Here is a 15619-nt window from a genome sequence, read left to right on the forward strand (position 1 = left end):
GGGTGTGGTGGCACACGCCTGTGGTCCCAGCTACTCAGGAGTCTGAAGTGGGAGGAGTACCTGAGCCCAGGAGTCGAGGCTACAGTGAGCCATGATCGTGCCACTGCAATCCAGCCTGGGCAACAGGGGAAGACCCTGTCTCAAAAAATATAAAAAATGAAATTAAAATGAAGCCATCTTGCAAAGAATTTATTTCCCAAAGGAAGTTATATTCCTCGTTTAACTATCAATCCCTTTTCCATATACTATATATAATACCTTTTTAGTAGAGATATGGGGGAATTATAACATTTATGCACTCTCAATATAAATGTAATACTCTTTAACTCTCTTTACATAGATGTTGTAACATGTCAGTCAATCCTTACTAATGTGGCCTTCAGTTTGTCTACCCAGTTTGGCTAGCTGCATAAACTGTCATCTCTACCACTTCCTTTTCCTCTGGCTGCAGCTGTTTTCCCTTAATCATATGCATCTGTAAGTAAAGGTTTGAAGAAATAGCACTACTCTTAGATGTGTAACAAACACTTGTTACTTGTGCTTAATAAAACTTTTCCAGCCTCAAAAAGTTTACATTTCACCACCTTCTTCAAATATGGAAATTTTGTCTTTTCATACATTTTTTTTCAGTAGTGCTTAAGAAGAAATGGAATAAAGATTTCAAAGAATAGACTAGATGCCTAATATAAGAAAATAAGAACAATATATTTAACAGATTGGGAATTAATGTTCTGTAGGGTCTTTTCATCCAATAAAAAATTAAGGGCTATTTAATGTGGAGTAGATTTTAAGCTTTCAGAAATCAGAAGACAGCAGAGATCAAGAATTAGGAAAGCCTTTGTGAGAGAATTAGAACTTCATTTAGATATGACTTCCCAAAACGGAGGGAAAATCCTCCAGGCTAGGAGGATAATGTGTAAAGTGAGAAAGAAGAAAAGCATAGGGTGCATGGTGGAAAGGAAGTAAAAACATGGGAGGCTGGGCATGGTGGCTCACGCCTGTAATCCAAGCACTTTGGGAGGCCGAGGTGGGCAGATCACCTGAGGTTGGGAGTTCGAGACCAGCCTGACCAACATGGCGAAACTCCATCTCTACTAAAAAAAAAAAAAAAAAAAATTAGCTGGGCATGGCGGTGCATGCCTGTAATCCCAACTACTCAGGAGGCTGAGGCAGGAGAATCGCTTGAACCCAGGAAGCGAAGGCTGCGGTGAGCCAAGATCGTGCCTTTGCACTCCAGCCTGGGCAACAAAAGTGAAACTCTATTTCAAACAAACAAACAAACAAACAACACACATGGGAAAGGGCGGGTTTAGACATGTGAGAAATTTAAAAACAAATCTCTGGCTGGGAGTGGTGGCTCCCACCTGCAATCCCAGCACTTTGGGAGGCCGAGGTAGGTGGATCACTTGAGCTCAGGCATTTGAGACCAGCCTGGGCAACATTGCAAAACTCTGTCTCTACCAAAAAAATTAGGCGTGGTGGTGCACACCTGTAGTCCCAGCACTTTGCGAGTCTGAGGTGGATGGATCACCTGAGGTCAGGAGTTTCAGAGCAAGCCTGGCCAACATGGTGAAACCACATCTCTACTAAAAATACAAAAATAAGCCAGGTGTGGTGGTGCATGCCTGTAATCCCAGCTACTCAAGAGGCTGAGACATGAGAATAGCTTGAACCCGGTAGGCAGAGGCTACAGTGAGCCGAGATTGTGCCACTGCACTCCAACCTGGGCGACAGAGCAAGACTCTCAGGGAAAAAAAAAAAAAAGAGAGCTGAGTAGCAACAATACAAGCAAATACTGTTTTTGTTTTTTCTTTCAAAGAAATGTCCTAGGGTAGGTGTGAAAAGTATTTTAGCCAAAGCTGACAGAACAATGTTTCCAAAGCTGTATGCCAAGTAATGCAACTGGGGAAGAGTGGGATGGAGGAAAGCAGAAGAGGTTTGTAAAAACATTGAGGCAAATCCTTTATTTGAGATGAATCTCATAGGCTGAGCCTGTAGTTTTTATTTGGTAGTCTATATGTCTAGGGTATCTTTGGTGTAAATACTTCTTTGTGATAAGGAAGAAAGCAGGCATTTAAGATGGGTGGTTTGCTCACCCTTACAAATGTTGCACATCAGGTTACTAAATGGTCTTGAATACCCTTTTAGGCAGGGATCCCACGGACCCTGTTATTAGATGAATTAAATATATCTTTGACAACATTACTTGGACCTGTAGGAAATATAGGAATTGTGGAAGGAGCACTAGCCCAAGAGTTGGAAAATGAAGGTTCTGGCTATAATTCTATTTAAATGAGCTCTATGCCCCCTACTGCCTCAATTTTAATGTGAAAATAATGCACTATGAGACATAGAGCTTCTCTGGCAAAATTATACTAAATCCTCCCTCTTCTCTGTAAACTGCCTATTTCGGGGACATCATATCCTATGTTAACATTATCTTTATGCAGCTAAATATGGCTCTCTTCCTGCCTTGTCCTTACAGGAAAAAAAAAACACTTTAATTCTACATTCCATTAAAAATACTGAGAATATTTTAAAAGCCTCTAAATGACATTTCTAAAAGAAAAGTAAATTCTTTAGGAGCCTTACTAAAAACAAGCCAGAACAGTATCAGATAGGCAGGAAATTTTCATTGACTTTAATATCTTAAAAGTCTAAACCCCAAAAAAGACAGTTCAATTGAAAAGTCAATTTATGTCATCTTTAATTGTAAATAAGAACAAATGCAATTCTCTGAATTTATTAAGATTGCCTTTTCTATCCTTTTTGTACTAGTTTCTCACTATGAGGAAATGAAAGGACTAACTAGGGTTATATAGAATAAGAAAACAGAAAGAACAACTCAAAATGTGCGAGTAAACACAAAGAAAAATATTTGAGTAAATGTGAATTTCTTCCATTCATATGTTCTCCTAATCTACAGTTTCTTTTCTAGACGGCCTACAAGGTGATTTCCCGCTTAAAAACTCCTTGATGGCTTCTCTCTCTACTTGTAAAAAAATCAAGGTTCGGGGACGGTGGCTCGTGCCTGTAATCCCAGCACTTTGGGAGGCTGAGGCGGACAGGAGTTCGAGACCAGCCTGGCCAATAGGGTGAAACCCCGTCTCTACTAAAAATACAAAAATTAGCCAGGCGTGATGGCGTGTGCCTGTAATCCCAGGATTACTCGGGAGGCTGAGGTGGTAGAATCGCTTGAATTCATGAGGCTGAGGTTGCAGTGAGCCAAGATCATGCCACTGCACTCTGGTCTGGGCGACAGAGTGAGACTCCATCTCCAAAAAAAAAAAAAAAAAAAAAGTCAAACTTCTCCACAGGTCCTTAAAGGCCTTGTGTCAAGTGGCTTTTGCTTACTCCTCCAACCATATCTTGATACTATCCCCCCCTCATCACTATAGTTGCAGCCTCTCTCACTCACCATCTTTCAGTATCTTGAAAGCATGAAGCTGTTTCCACATCAGAGTTCATGCACTTGCCTAAAAAATGTTTGCATGGGCTGGGTGCAGTGGCTCACGCCTGTAATCCCAGCACTTTGGGAGGCCGAGGTGGGTGGATCACAAGGTCAGGAGATTGAGACCGTCCTGGCTAACACTGTGAAACCCCGTCTCTCCTAAAAAAAATACAAAAAATTAGCCGGGCATGGTAGCGGGCGCCTGTAGTCCCAGCTACTCAGGAGGCTGAGGCAAGAGAATGGCCTGAACCCGGGAGGCGGAGCTTGCAGTGAGCCGAGATCGTGCCACTGCACTCCAGCCTGGAAGACAGAGCGAGACTCTGTCTCAAAATAAATAAATAAATAAATAATTTTTTTTTTTGCATGTATCTGTATCTAGATTCTACCTACTGTACCTGAGTTGTTTTTTTTGTTTGTTTTTTGTTTTTCTTTTTTCAGAATCAAACCTCTTTACTTCTCACTTACCAATATTCCCTGTCAGGCCCAAAATGAATTGTAATATAACATCTATCATCAACTTGTAGGATCACTGACAACCTCTTAACAATTTCGAAGTATAACAGGTGTTTTTCAATCTTCAATTTATACAGGATCACTTTATAGCATTTAACATCGTTGTCCTTTCCTTCCTTCTTGAAATTAACCTTCAATCTTGGTTTCTCTGATGGTTTCTTCAAACTCTTTTTTAACCTATTTATTTATTTTTATAGATTGGTCTTTTGTTTTCCTCTTTTTATCGCACCTAAACCTAATGCTTTAACTACCCTTTATACTACAATGTTACCTAGATCTAAAAATCTAAATCTCTAAGATTTCAGGTCTCTCCCCTTAAACTCTAGACTCTGAAATATCTCCACCTGCATTTCACTCTTTCCCCATCCCCCTCTTCATTCCTCTCATTCAATCAAGGTCTACTTCCTATGGACCTCTCTCCAAACCTCTTAGCCACATTTTTAGCTCAACGACTTTTCAATGAATGTTATAAAATCACTCACTAATATCTATTTCATACCCCCCTAATCCATGCTCTACACTGCCACCAGGTGATGTCACTTTCCTGTTTAAAATGTTCCAATGGGCCTTTCAAGCCCTCTTAAATAAGTCTAAATTCTCTGGCATGCTATACATGATTCCCCCTACCCTCCTTGGTCTCTAGCCTTATTTCTGAGCACTGTCCGATTCATTTATTTAATTTAACAGGCTGTTCCTCGCTAAGAGAGGTTCTTTTCTGCTTCTGTGCCTTATCACATATAGTTCCTTTTTTGTTGATAAAATCTCCCCAACTCATCACTCCCCCTTCAAATAAATGAAACTTTTACTAGTTTTTAAACCTCTGTTTAAGCTGTACTTCCTTCCGTAGGGGGCAAAAACAGTCTCCCCTGACCCGTGCCCATGCTGATTAATTTAGATAATCTCTTTAGTGAGACTTATTTTGGTTTTTGGGTGCATGTGTATGAACTAGGTTATGAAGCAAAATGTATTTTTTATAGAATCTAATGAAAAATGGAAAGCCATTACCCTAGGGGTTTGTATCAGAACGCCCTTTATATATGTAAAGTCCTGCTTCTGGCTATTATCTCATTACCCCCACCTTCCACCCCACCCCCACCCTTTTAGTTTTTTTATTTTTTTCAGGCTAGTCAAATGAAGCAGTGGAACTGGAGAAGGAACAAAGAAGTCTGTAGCAGGTTGTTATCAATTAGTTGTAAAGGGACTGTGATCAGCCCCTAACTATTTGATTAATAAAAGTGACAATGAGGTCTGTTAAAAAGCTCGGAAGAAAATGTAACTTGTAGTGTTTCAGATGTAGGCTTGCCAACACAAGTTACTAAATGACATTTTCTTTGCTAATAACTGATATGCAGAGAATAATCATTACTTTTAGGGGTTGGGTCCACAGAGCTAGAGTGAAAAATTATCAGCACACTAAGCAGGACAGTAATCAGAAACAAAATATCTAGGTCACAATCTGCAGATGACATTTTTGGGAAAAGTTTATTATACGAATTATTTCCATTGATTTTAATTTTCAAAACAAACTTAAAAAAACATCTAAATTCAGAAGCCAAACAAGTTTGACATGATTGATAATGTCTTTTTTGTTCCTGGAGGCACTTGCTTTACTTCAAGTTTCTTGTGATTGGAATGGAGACTTGGCTGCACCAAGTAAATGAAGTTATTTCAACCCCCTTTCTTCACTCTGATCTACATTAGGCATGTGCTATGCATTTTCTAAATCCTACCCTTTTAATGTGACTACATCCTCAACATAAATCTTAAATACTCTGATAAGCCATAATTTTAAAAAGTATTTATCTGTATAAAGTATTTTTAAGTGTAAAGGCCTCTAACTATTGTCATCCTTTTTTTTTTCACTGATAGATAATATTTTACCTATTTATGGGGTACATGTGTTTGCTACATGCATAGAATTCTAACATCACCTCAGACACTATAAGAAGCTTCTCATGAGGAAAAAACTGAAAAGTCATAACTAAAATATTAATTGCTTGTTTGCTAGTGATTTTCCAACAATCTACGTATTTTTGCTTTTATACTTTAAAGAGAGTCCATGTTAACACTATTGAAGAAAAGAAAGGAAAATATAATCAAATGTAATCAGATTTGATCCAAATTCTCTGATTTTCTGTCTCTATGCAATTAGCAACCTCAGTTCCTTCAACTGCAAGATGATACATATCCATTGCCTTCATCACAAAGATGACATATGGTAATTAATGGGCTAATACCTGTAATATAATCTGAAGCTCTAGCATAAAGACATTCTATAAGTACAAAACACTTTCTCAATAAATCTGCATGAGATGATTTTTACATGAAAAAGGTTTAGGGTTTGTCTACAAATGACTGTATGTTAACAAAATAGATTTACTGCACTGACTGGTTCTTTCCATCAATGTTTTAGAATGAGTGAGATAAATATTTATCAAATAATGACACAGATAATTATAGACCGTAATAAATGCTATGAAAATAAAGTACAGAGTGCTATGAGAACAAGTGGGGGGCGGGAAGTAGGCACTTTCACTTGTTATATCTTTTAATCTTAATAATACTTTTCCCAGGTTATCATGAAGAAATCAAGAATTCAGGTTAAGTTAATTAGCTTGTCAAGTTCACACAACTTAAAGGTGGAGAGAGCCAGGAACACAGGTTTCACTTAAAGACCATATTCTATCCACTCTTCCAGTATTTTGCTAATATCTGAATTGCTAATACTCTCACTGACTGCACATCTCTGCCCATTCTCTTCTTCCCTATTTAACAGGTTCAACTAACTCCTTTGGTCCACCTTACCCCTCTCTATGTTTTCTTTTATTCCAAAGCAGTTATCACTTTCTAATATATTATTTGTTGTGCATATTATCAGTGGGCCTCTGGTAGGTGATAAGCTCCAGGAAGCTAGGGAGCTTTGCTTGTTTTGCTCATAGACGTCATCCCCACCCTCCCATTCCCAGAATAGTGACTGGTACCCAGTGAACACTGGCCCAATTTTCCTTTCCCGTTTTTCAGCTTTAGCTGTATGCAAGAACTTGTTTGATCATTCTCACTTTTAATTACTAGGAAAACAAAGAAGTTTGACCCTATAGCTGAGAAAAATTTATATTCAAGTAACATTTAAATTTAGCCTGAAATTCTATTCTGTTAAAAAAAAATTAGGGTCATCAGTATCATTTTTAAAATCCTAGCCATAATAAAAAGTGGTGAAAAGACATGTCAAGCAAACTCCGAAATGTGGAAGATGCAGATGAGGATCAATGATTAGTATTTAAGAGTGTCTACTCACATTTGATGATGCTGTAGTGGGTAAATGTGAGACACAGATGAAACATAAGAATCAGAGTACACTAAAGTAGTAGTTACCAAACCTTAGGGATTTCAAAAAACAGGTAAAGTAAAAAAGAGAAAAGTTGGAATGAAAGAGGTGTCAAATTTTAATTTTGACACAAAGGGATATTAAGAACTAAAAACAATTACTATCACTGTAATTTCATCAGAACATCTTAACATAAAAAATTACCTAATTTCACAATAAAGGGCAGTCATTTTTAAGTAAATTTAGATCCATGAGCACCTCATTATATACAAACAGTTCAACAAAAATTTAAGATCTAAATGTGAACTCTTAAAAGATGCTCTGAAAGAATTTTTATAACCCCAGTATAGAGAAGGCTTTCTCCAAAAGAATGATACATTTGATATTAAAATTAAAAAACTTCTAGTCATTAAAAGACAACATATTTAAAGTGAAAATGCATGCTAAAGAGTGGAAGAAGTTTTTTGTTTTTTTTTTTGAGACGGAGTCTCATTGTGTCCCCCAGGCTGGAGTGTGGTGGCGCGATCTCGGCTCACTGCAACCTCTGCCTCCCAGGTTCAAGCGATTCTCCTGTCTCAGCCTCCTGAGTAGCTGGGATTACAGGCGCCCACCACTACACCCGGCTAAGTTTTGGTATTTTTAGTAGAGACGGGGTTTCATCATGTTGCCCAGGCTGGAAGATATTTTTAATGCCTACCAAGTATTATTACAAAGAATACATTAAAACAAGATGCAAATAAAAACTACAATGAGGTACCATTTCATACTCCTCAGAATGGCAAAAATTAATAAAATATTACTACTAATATTTTTCTACCTTCTAAAATATCTGAAATGCAGACAAGCAGACCCTCTCTCATGCATTATGGACTGGAAGTTGTACTTTGTACAGAAAACTGACAGTTATTTAATAAAGTTGAAGACATTCATACGCTGTGATCTAGCAACCTACTACCAGATTTATAAACCAGGGCAATCTTTCTCAATGACAGCTTTTGGCTACTATAATGAATGAGGGGCACTACTAAATAGAGGCCAGGAATGCCAGGCACTTTTCTTGCATAAAGAAAGTGCTGCTCAGATTGGGCGCAGTGGCTCACACCTATAATCCCAGCACTTTTGGAGGGGGCAGGTGGGGTGCAGCGCCATGGTAGGCAGATCACTTGAGCTCAGGAGTTCAAGACCAGCCTGGCCAACATGGTGAAATCCTTGTCTCTACAAAAAAAATACAAAAATTAGCTGGGTGTGGTGGTGCATGCCTGTAGTCCCAGCCACTCGGGAAGCCCAGGTGGGAGGATTGTTTGAGCTTGGCGGGGGTCGAGGGTTCAGTGGGCAGTGATCATGCTACTACACTCCAGCCTGGGCAACAGAGTGAGAATCTGTCTCAAAAAATAAATAAATAAATAAGTAAGTAAATAAACAAATAGTGCTGCTCCATGCCTCATGACTTGAATATTCTGCTGGACATTCATAGAGGGGAACAGAAAGAGGAAAAAAAACCCACTAATGTCAGATAATTCTAAACAGGATTTAATACCAAGTTTATTTGTATAGTTTTAACATAGATGATTTGTTATGAATGCAATCATTGTGTAAAGAGGTAAGATTGCACTTTTATTTCTGTTTAAACTTTTCTGAGGATAGTTTGTTATTTCAGAAAATCATTTTCCACTTTTCCACCAATGACAGGCCCAGCATTGGTAATTGAATGGCTAACATACCTGTTTTAATCTGTAGCTGTTGTATTGATGGAGACACCATCCATTGGTACAAAGCGTCTAATTACTACTATTTCTTTTAGCAGTGCTTCTTATATTTCAATGCGTATATGCATCACCTGGGAATCTTGATAAAATACAGCATCTGGCCGGGCACAGTGGCTCATGTCTGTAATCCCAATGTCCCAGTGCTTTGGGATACTGAGGAGGGAGGATCACTTGAGGCCAGGAGTTCAAGATCAGCCTGGGCAAGATAGCAAGACCCTGTCTCTGTAAAAAATCTAAAAATTAGCCAGGCTTGATGGTGCATACCTGTAGTCCCAGATGCTCAGGAGGCTGAAGTGGGAGGATCCCTTGAGCCCAGGAGTTTGAGGTTACAGTGAGTTGTATGGCTCCAGAGATCCTGTCTTTTACATTATTAAAAAACAAACAAACAAACAAAAAAAAAAACAGCATCTGCATCAGTAGGTTAAAGTCTGATGCTCTGCATTTCCAACAAGCTCCCAAGGGATTCTGATGTTGCTGGTCGACCATTACACTTGGTGGCTAATCTTGAATGTAGTCTTGAGCTCGAGTATTTACAAAGTGAAACACATATTACTTTATTACAATTTTTTCTTATTTTATTAAGGCCAATGCTTTCTTTAAAGTACTGTAAAATATTTTCTATGAACATGGGATGTAGGTAGGGTCAAGAACCACTGCTCTAGAAGTCTTACACAACAGATACCTAACATATACAGGAATATTCCTTATAGTACTGTTTAATAGCAAACAAATGGAAACAACAAAAATGACCATCAACAGAAACCTGACATAGTTATATAACAGAGCACATACCACCTAACAGTAAAAGTAAATAAACTAGAGCTACCTAAATAAACATAGATAAATCTTGGCCAAGTTGTGTGAAGAAAGCAAGCTAAATAAAGATATCTGTATTTAAATAGTCTTAAGACAATCAAAATAAAACTATATATATATAATGTTCATAGGATAAAGGTATGTAGTTAAGTATCAACACGTGGATATAGGAAGGATGCATGTCAACTTTGGGTCACTGGTTAGATATCGGGGGGAAAAGGGAACAGCATTTAAGAGAGGTATTAACATACTAAGGAAACCTCGTTTTTTGTTTTTGTTTTTCTGAGACAGAGTTTTGCTCTTGCTGCCCACGCTGGAGTGCAATGGTGCTATCTTGGCTCACCACAACCTCTGCCTCCTGGGTTCAAGCGATTCTCCTGCCTCAGCCTCCCGAGTGGCTGGGATTACAGGCAAGCACCACCACACCCGGCTAATTTTGTATTTTTAGTAGAGACGGGGTTTCTCCATGTTGGTCAGGCTGGTCTCTAACTCCCGACCCCAGGTGATCCGCCTGCCTCGGCCTCCCTCCCAAAGTGCTGGGATTACAGGCGTGAGCCACCGAGCCTGGCCGGACACTTCGTTTTAATTGGTAGTTTTGTTTGTTTAACTGGGTGATGGGTACATGGATATTCATTATATTGTATGGCACCAACATTTATATTGCTATGTTAGTTCTCACTTCACTTGGACAAAACTCTTGGGCATGAACAGGTGTTTGGAAAACACTGCTCCAAAGCAAAGGATTCAGGACTAGAGAAGACCCAAGTTCAAGCCTCAATTCTACTTCTTACTAATTGCTTAGCTTTAGGCAATTGAAATAATTAACTTATCTGGGCTTTATTTATTTCATCTGTAAAAATTCCACAAACAGTGAAGTGGCTCACACCTGTAATCCTAGCACTTTGGGAGGCCAAGGCGGGTGGATCACCTGAGGTCAGGAGTTGAAGACCAGCATGGCCAACGTGGTGAAACCCCATCTCTACTAAAAATACAAAAAATTAGCCGGGAGTGGTGGCGGGTGCCCGTAATCCCAGCTACTCAGGAGGCTGAGGCAGAAGAATCACTTGAACCCGGGAAGCAGAGGTTGCAGTGAGCCGAGATCGCGCCATTGCACGCCAGCCTGGGCAACAAGAGCAAAACTCCGTCTCAAAAAAAAAAAAAAAAAAAAAGGCCACAAACTCACCTTCCCTCTCTCCAACTCACAAGGCTGGATTCGACAGGCAAATGGGGCAATGTATGTGAGAAATTTTAAAGAGTAGGAAGGGTAGGGGGAATTTTCAGAATTAAGAGCAAAACTTTGGATAAATCAGAAGTAAAATCTACCAGTAAATAAACCAACCAATAAAATATACTCTATTTTCTTGTCATCACTGCTTCTAAAGATCTTAACACCAATCTTAATACGGAAGAAATTTTAATTCTTAAATGATGGCATAGGGAGAGTCATTCTCCTTATCTTTATGCTAACTGTTCATCAAATGATTGAAATTCATAATATCAAAACAAAGTAAGAGCACTGCATTAAAAAGTATTCTCATTTAACTTATATCAATGTCACATAACCAGAGTAACTGTTGCTTACATGGTTCTCACTCCCCTTTTTATAAAGTGAGCAGGTGGCACATTTTATCAGCCCTATATTACAGATGGAGAAAACTGACTCAGATGTGGGATAGCGTGCCTGGAGTTGTAGACCAATTCAGTGTCAAACTTGGAACAGACACTAATTGCTTAATTCTTCTGTGTTCATTAAGCTACTAAAAACATTATTTTTTCATGATGTTTTTTGGTGATTTTGTTTGTCCCAGGAAACAGAAAATTCTTTGTCAGCAGTCATTTCATAAACATTTCAAAATGGGCAAAGATACTCAAGGAAACAAGCTACTCATCAACTAGAATACTGCACACTAAGGGACAAAATTAAAACTGCCTAGCCTGCTAAAAATCTAATCCTGTCCTTGCCAATTAACCTTATTAACACTAGAGTAGGAGAAAAGAGAGGTCAAAATATAGGTGAAGGTGCCATTCATTTCCTTCTGGATTTCAAATGATATGACAATTACTGCACAACAGAGATTTTTACCTCTGCTGTTCCTTAAGTAACACGACCCCTATTCTCCAAATAAAAACTTACCAACAAGTTGAGCAGTCTCAAATTAGAATACTAGCAATCATGACAATTTTCAAAATACTGGCTATCATTAGATGTCACCCAACTGAAATTCATGCTATAAACATATGTAGAGAAACTCTTTACGGAAAAAAGTTCATTTTAATGTAAATTTCCCTGTTAATCTAAACAGATTAACGTTATTACAACATGTATCTGGCTTTCTACTCCGACTCATTAGGTATTATAGTTTCATATGTTGGCACAAGATCTCCAAAGATTTATTAGAGGCATAAAAAAATTCCAAATGAATCATCTATAGATCAAGCATCATATATCACAAAAAGTATTAAACAGGAACACATTTCATAAACAGCGAAATTTAAAGGTCACCCTCTGTATTCCGTTATTCATCCTTTTGCTTACCAAATCTACTTCACACTGACTTAAAGCATCATTTACAAAAAATTCTCTTCTGGCATTGGCAGAGATCTCACCAAAGATCAAAGATCTGAACTTTTTTTTTTTTTAAACAAAAACCCCAGGTTAAATACACTCTTTCCTTCACGAGAGCCCCCACACAGTACAATCTAATTTGACATAACTTTGTTTCGGGGTTAAAAAAAATCCCAAACAAAACCTTTAAATTTTCCAATTCAAAAACGATTCCTGATAAGCCTACCTTAGAGTTCGAAAACAAATAAGATTAAAGCCCAACCATCTAAAGAAAAAGAACCCTACGACAGCCCCACCGGAATACACAAATCGCCAAGCCCCGTGCAGATTCAATCTAAAATCGCGCCCGACAGAGATATAAGGACATTCAGGAGAAAGCTTTTAGGCACCCGCGAATCTCTCAGTGCGCCAGTGAGGGGAATGGGAACCTGACCCCATCTTTTCATCCACTGAGAGAAAAGCAAAGGAAATGAAATGGAACCCTTCTCTTCACCGAGGAGGACCAAAGACCTTCTTAGAGTGTCGGTCGGTCCTCCCTCCCCCACCCCCTGACTCCGGCCGCTCCACGGACCGCAGGGACTGTCCTACCGCTCCCCTTCACGCAACCATCAGAGAATCCTCTCAAAAACACAGACCCGATGAGGAGTGGCTTCCCCGCCTTTCCCCTGTGCCGAGAAGGGATCCCGGTCGCCAACAACAAAGACGCTTCCCGCTCCCCTCCCCCCGCCGGCCCGGGCTCGTCCCTCCCGCGCTGCGGCTCCCGGCCTAGCGCCCCCTCCCCGAGCCGGGCTGCGGCGTCCCCAAACCCCGAGGCCGCACGCACCTGCACCTGAGCGGCCCGGGCCGAAGCGCCGGGCAGAAGGGGTCGAGAGAGAACCGCAGCCGACGCGCTGTCCTCCACAAGGCGAGATCCGCGCTCCGGGCGCCGTCCGACTCTCTCCGCCTGCAGACTGGCCCGACAGAGGAGCGGGGACCAGGGCTACAGCCCCCGGCGCCGGGGCGAAGAAGGACGGCGGCGCCCCAGGGGCCCCGCTCACGCTCCCGAGTCTCGCCTCGCGCCGGCCCTGCTCCTCCACAAGAGCTCGCGTTCTGCTGACTAACGGCCCCGGTGCGGGGCGCTGGAGCGGCCGCCGCTGCCCGTCGGTTGCTCTCGGGCCTCACGTCCCGCGCGGCCGTGGTCGCAGCCGCCGCCGCCACCGCCTCCCTTTCTGGCACTGCAGACGCCACCCAGACCTAGCCAGGTCTTCCTTCTCTTTAATCCTGCTTTCTTTGCTCCTCCTCAGCCTGCCAAGCGCGAGGCTCGTTCCGGTAGCGGGAGGAAGACTGGAGGGGAACGGAGGGGACGAGCACAATCCCCACTGAGCCAGGAGTTGGCCACTGACTGGAGGAAGGTGCCAAAGCTGACCCCGGCTCCAGCCTACTAGCGGGCGGGGGGAGAGACGGAGCCCAGCCTTGCCTCACTTCCACCAATCAGAGGCCGCCCGGCAGGGTGGGAGGCGCTCTGAGCTCAAGGAGAGGCTGAGCTCGCTCAGCAGGAGGCGGGGATTGCGGAAAAGAAGAACCAATAGGAACAAAGGTTCCCCGCCCCTTTGATTTGATGGACTACACATTCGGGCCAATGGGGGAATTCTCATTTCGAAGAAAGTGGGACTTGTTCTCCGGGTTTGAGAAAGAGGCTGCGCGGAGCCGGAGGGGTCGAGGCTGCGCCGCGTGGAGTGGCTTGGCTTAACAGCAGGGAGGGCAGAGCGATGCTCTTTGACCTCCCAGAAGAGTCACGTGGGCTGACCCAGAGCCGGGGCGGAAAGGCTGCGTTTGTTTCTTCCGGGTCATTGACAGAAGCGTCAATTCCTGGGAGTAGTTCGTTGGTTTTCTTTCCCCTCATCCTTTTGCCTGCTCCCGGCGAGGGGTGGCTTTGATTTCGGCGATGAGCTCCCAGAAAGGCAACGTGGCTCGTTCCAGACCTCAGAAGCACCAGAATACGTTTAGCTTCAAAAATGACAAGTTCGATAAAAGTGTGCAGACCAAGGTAGGAACCTGCCTGTTGCACCGTCTTTGACTCCAGGAAGGAATGGCTCACTGGAGAGGGGAGAGAGGAAATGAGAGGAGTCGGCTGGGGCGAGTGTGGACCGCAGCCCAGAGTTAGTCTTGGCTGCAGTGCAACTCTTTCTAAAATGTTATTCTCACGCCCTTTCTTTGACCTGGACATGTTGTCTCCTGGTAAATATTTGATGGTCAGCACACTTAACTAATTGCACAGAGTGAACAGGACCCTAATGAAATCTAAGGTGCAGATGGGGCAGTTACGTCGTTCAGCGTTCCCATCTGGATCACATTAGCAGAGGGAAACGAGGATTGTGGCATGAGTGGCTTTTTCAAATTTTACACCAAGTTTATGCAGCTACGATTTTTTTTTCCAAAAACCCCAAGCCCATAGAGGAAATGTGAATGATTAAGCTGTCTTAGGCTGTCCTCACTAGTATTGTGTGAAATTTCTGTTTTGTAACAATTGTTTTGAAGATAAAAATATTTGGTTAATGTAAAAATACTTGTTTTGCTGTTTATCTTTAGCAGGACTTCTGTAAAGTCCTGCTAAAAAATTCAGACTGTCTAGATAGCCAGAGGACTTGGGTTGTATATAAGTACTAATTTGCAGGCCGGGCGCCGTGGCTCAAAGTGCTGTAATCCCAGCACTTTGGGAGGCCGAAGCGGGTGGATCACCTGAGGTCAGGAGTTCGAGAACGACCTGGTCAACATGGCGAAACTCCATCTGTACTAAAAATACAAAAATTAGCCGGGCGTGGTGGCGGGCGCTTGTAATCTCAGCACTTTGGGAGGCCGAGGTGGTGGGCGGATCACCTGAGGTCAGAAGTTCGAGAACGACCTGGCCAACATGGCGAAACTCCCAATCTGCTAAAAATACAAAAATTAGCCGACGTGGTGACGGGTGCCGGTAATCCCAGCTACTCGGGAGGCTGAGGCAGGGGAATCGCTTGAACCCTGGAGGCGGTGGTTGCAGTGAGCTGAGATCACATCACTGCACTCCTGGGCGACAGAGCAAGACTCCGTCTCAAAAAACAAAAACAAAAAACTACTAATTTGCTCTTTGCTGTGAATCTCTCTCCCTGTCTCCATAGCTGTATGGAGAGAAAATCATTGACAACAGGGGCATATTAGGGGCCAGC

The 15619-nt window shown here is 41.8% G+C and overlaps 2 protein-coding genes across 17 annotated transcripts in view, besides 4 other annotated features; one reads left to right on the forward strand and one right to left on the reverse strand.

Annotated features, from left to right (window-relative positions):
• The window catches only part of ABHD17B (abhydrolase domain containing 17B, depalmitoylase), a 48742-nt gene extending 34922 nt beyond the window's left edge, over nt 1–13820 (reverse strand). For 3 of the 6 annotated variants that reach the window (XM_047423447.1, NM_016014.4, NM_001025780.3), the window contains exon 1: nt 13261–13820. The gene's annotated coding sequence lies outside the window, so the exon portion shown is untranslated. Of the gene's footprint in view, nt 1–9010; nt 13144–13260 lie in introns of those variants that run through there. The other 3 variants (XM_017014788.3, XM_006717134.4, XM_017014787.3) reach the window with 3 other exon arrangements.
• Nucleotides 13344–13583: a silencer, noted in NCBI's record as "silent region_19945". NCBI's record gives its function as "represses an Ori minimal core promoter by ATAC-STARR-seq in GM12878 lymphoblastoid cells {active_cell/tissue: GM12878}" and the evidence as "EXISTENCE:reporter gene assay evidence [ECO:0000049][PMID:35858748]".
• Nucleotides 14034–14343: an enhancer, noted in NCBI's record as "active region_28455". NCBI's record gives its function as "activates an Ori minimal core promoter by ATAC-STARR-seq in GM12878 lymphoblastoid cells {active_cell/tissue: GM12878}" and the evidence as "EXISTENCE:reporter gene assay evidence [ECO:0000049][PMID:35858748]".
• Nucleotides 14266–15619, forward strand: part of C9orf85 (chromosome 9 open reading frame 85) — a 74420-nt gene continuing 73066 nt past the window's right edge. For all 11 annotated transcript variants that reach the window (NR_157408.2, NR_157409.2, NR_157410.2 and 8 more), the window contains exon 1: nt 14266–14463. Coding sequence is in view for 6 of the 11 variants with exons in the window: in NM_001365053.2 (NP_001351982.1) it covers nt 14362–14463 (102 nt within the window). In the remaining 5 variants the exon portion in view is untranslated. The remainder of the gene's footprint in view (nt 14464–15619) is intronic.
• Nucleotides 14414–14463: an enhancer, noted in NCBI's record as "active region_28456". NCBI's record gives its function as "activates an Ori minimal core promoter by ATAC-STARR-seq in GM12878 lymphoblastoid cells {active_cell/tissue: GM12878}" and the evidence as "EXISTENCE:reporter gene assay evidence [ECO:0000049][PMID:35858748]".
• Nucleotides 14474–14533: an enhancer, noted in NCBI's record as "active region_28457". NCBI's record gives its function as "activates an Ori minimal core promoter by ATAC-STARR-seq in GM12878 lymphoblastoid cells {active_cell/tissue: GM12878}" and the evidence as "EXISTENCE:reporter gene assay evidence [ECO:0000049][PMID:35858748]".

This window comes from Homo sapiens, chromosome 9 (assembly GCF_000001405.40).
Source record: "Homo sapiens chromosome 9, GRCh38.p14 Primary Assembly".
NCBI lineage: Eukaryota > Metazoa > Chordata > Mammalia > Primates > Hominidae > Homo > Homo sapiens.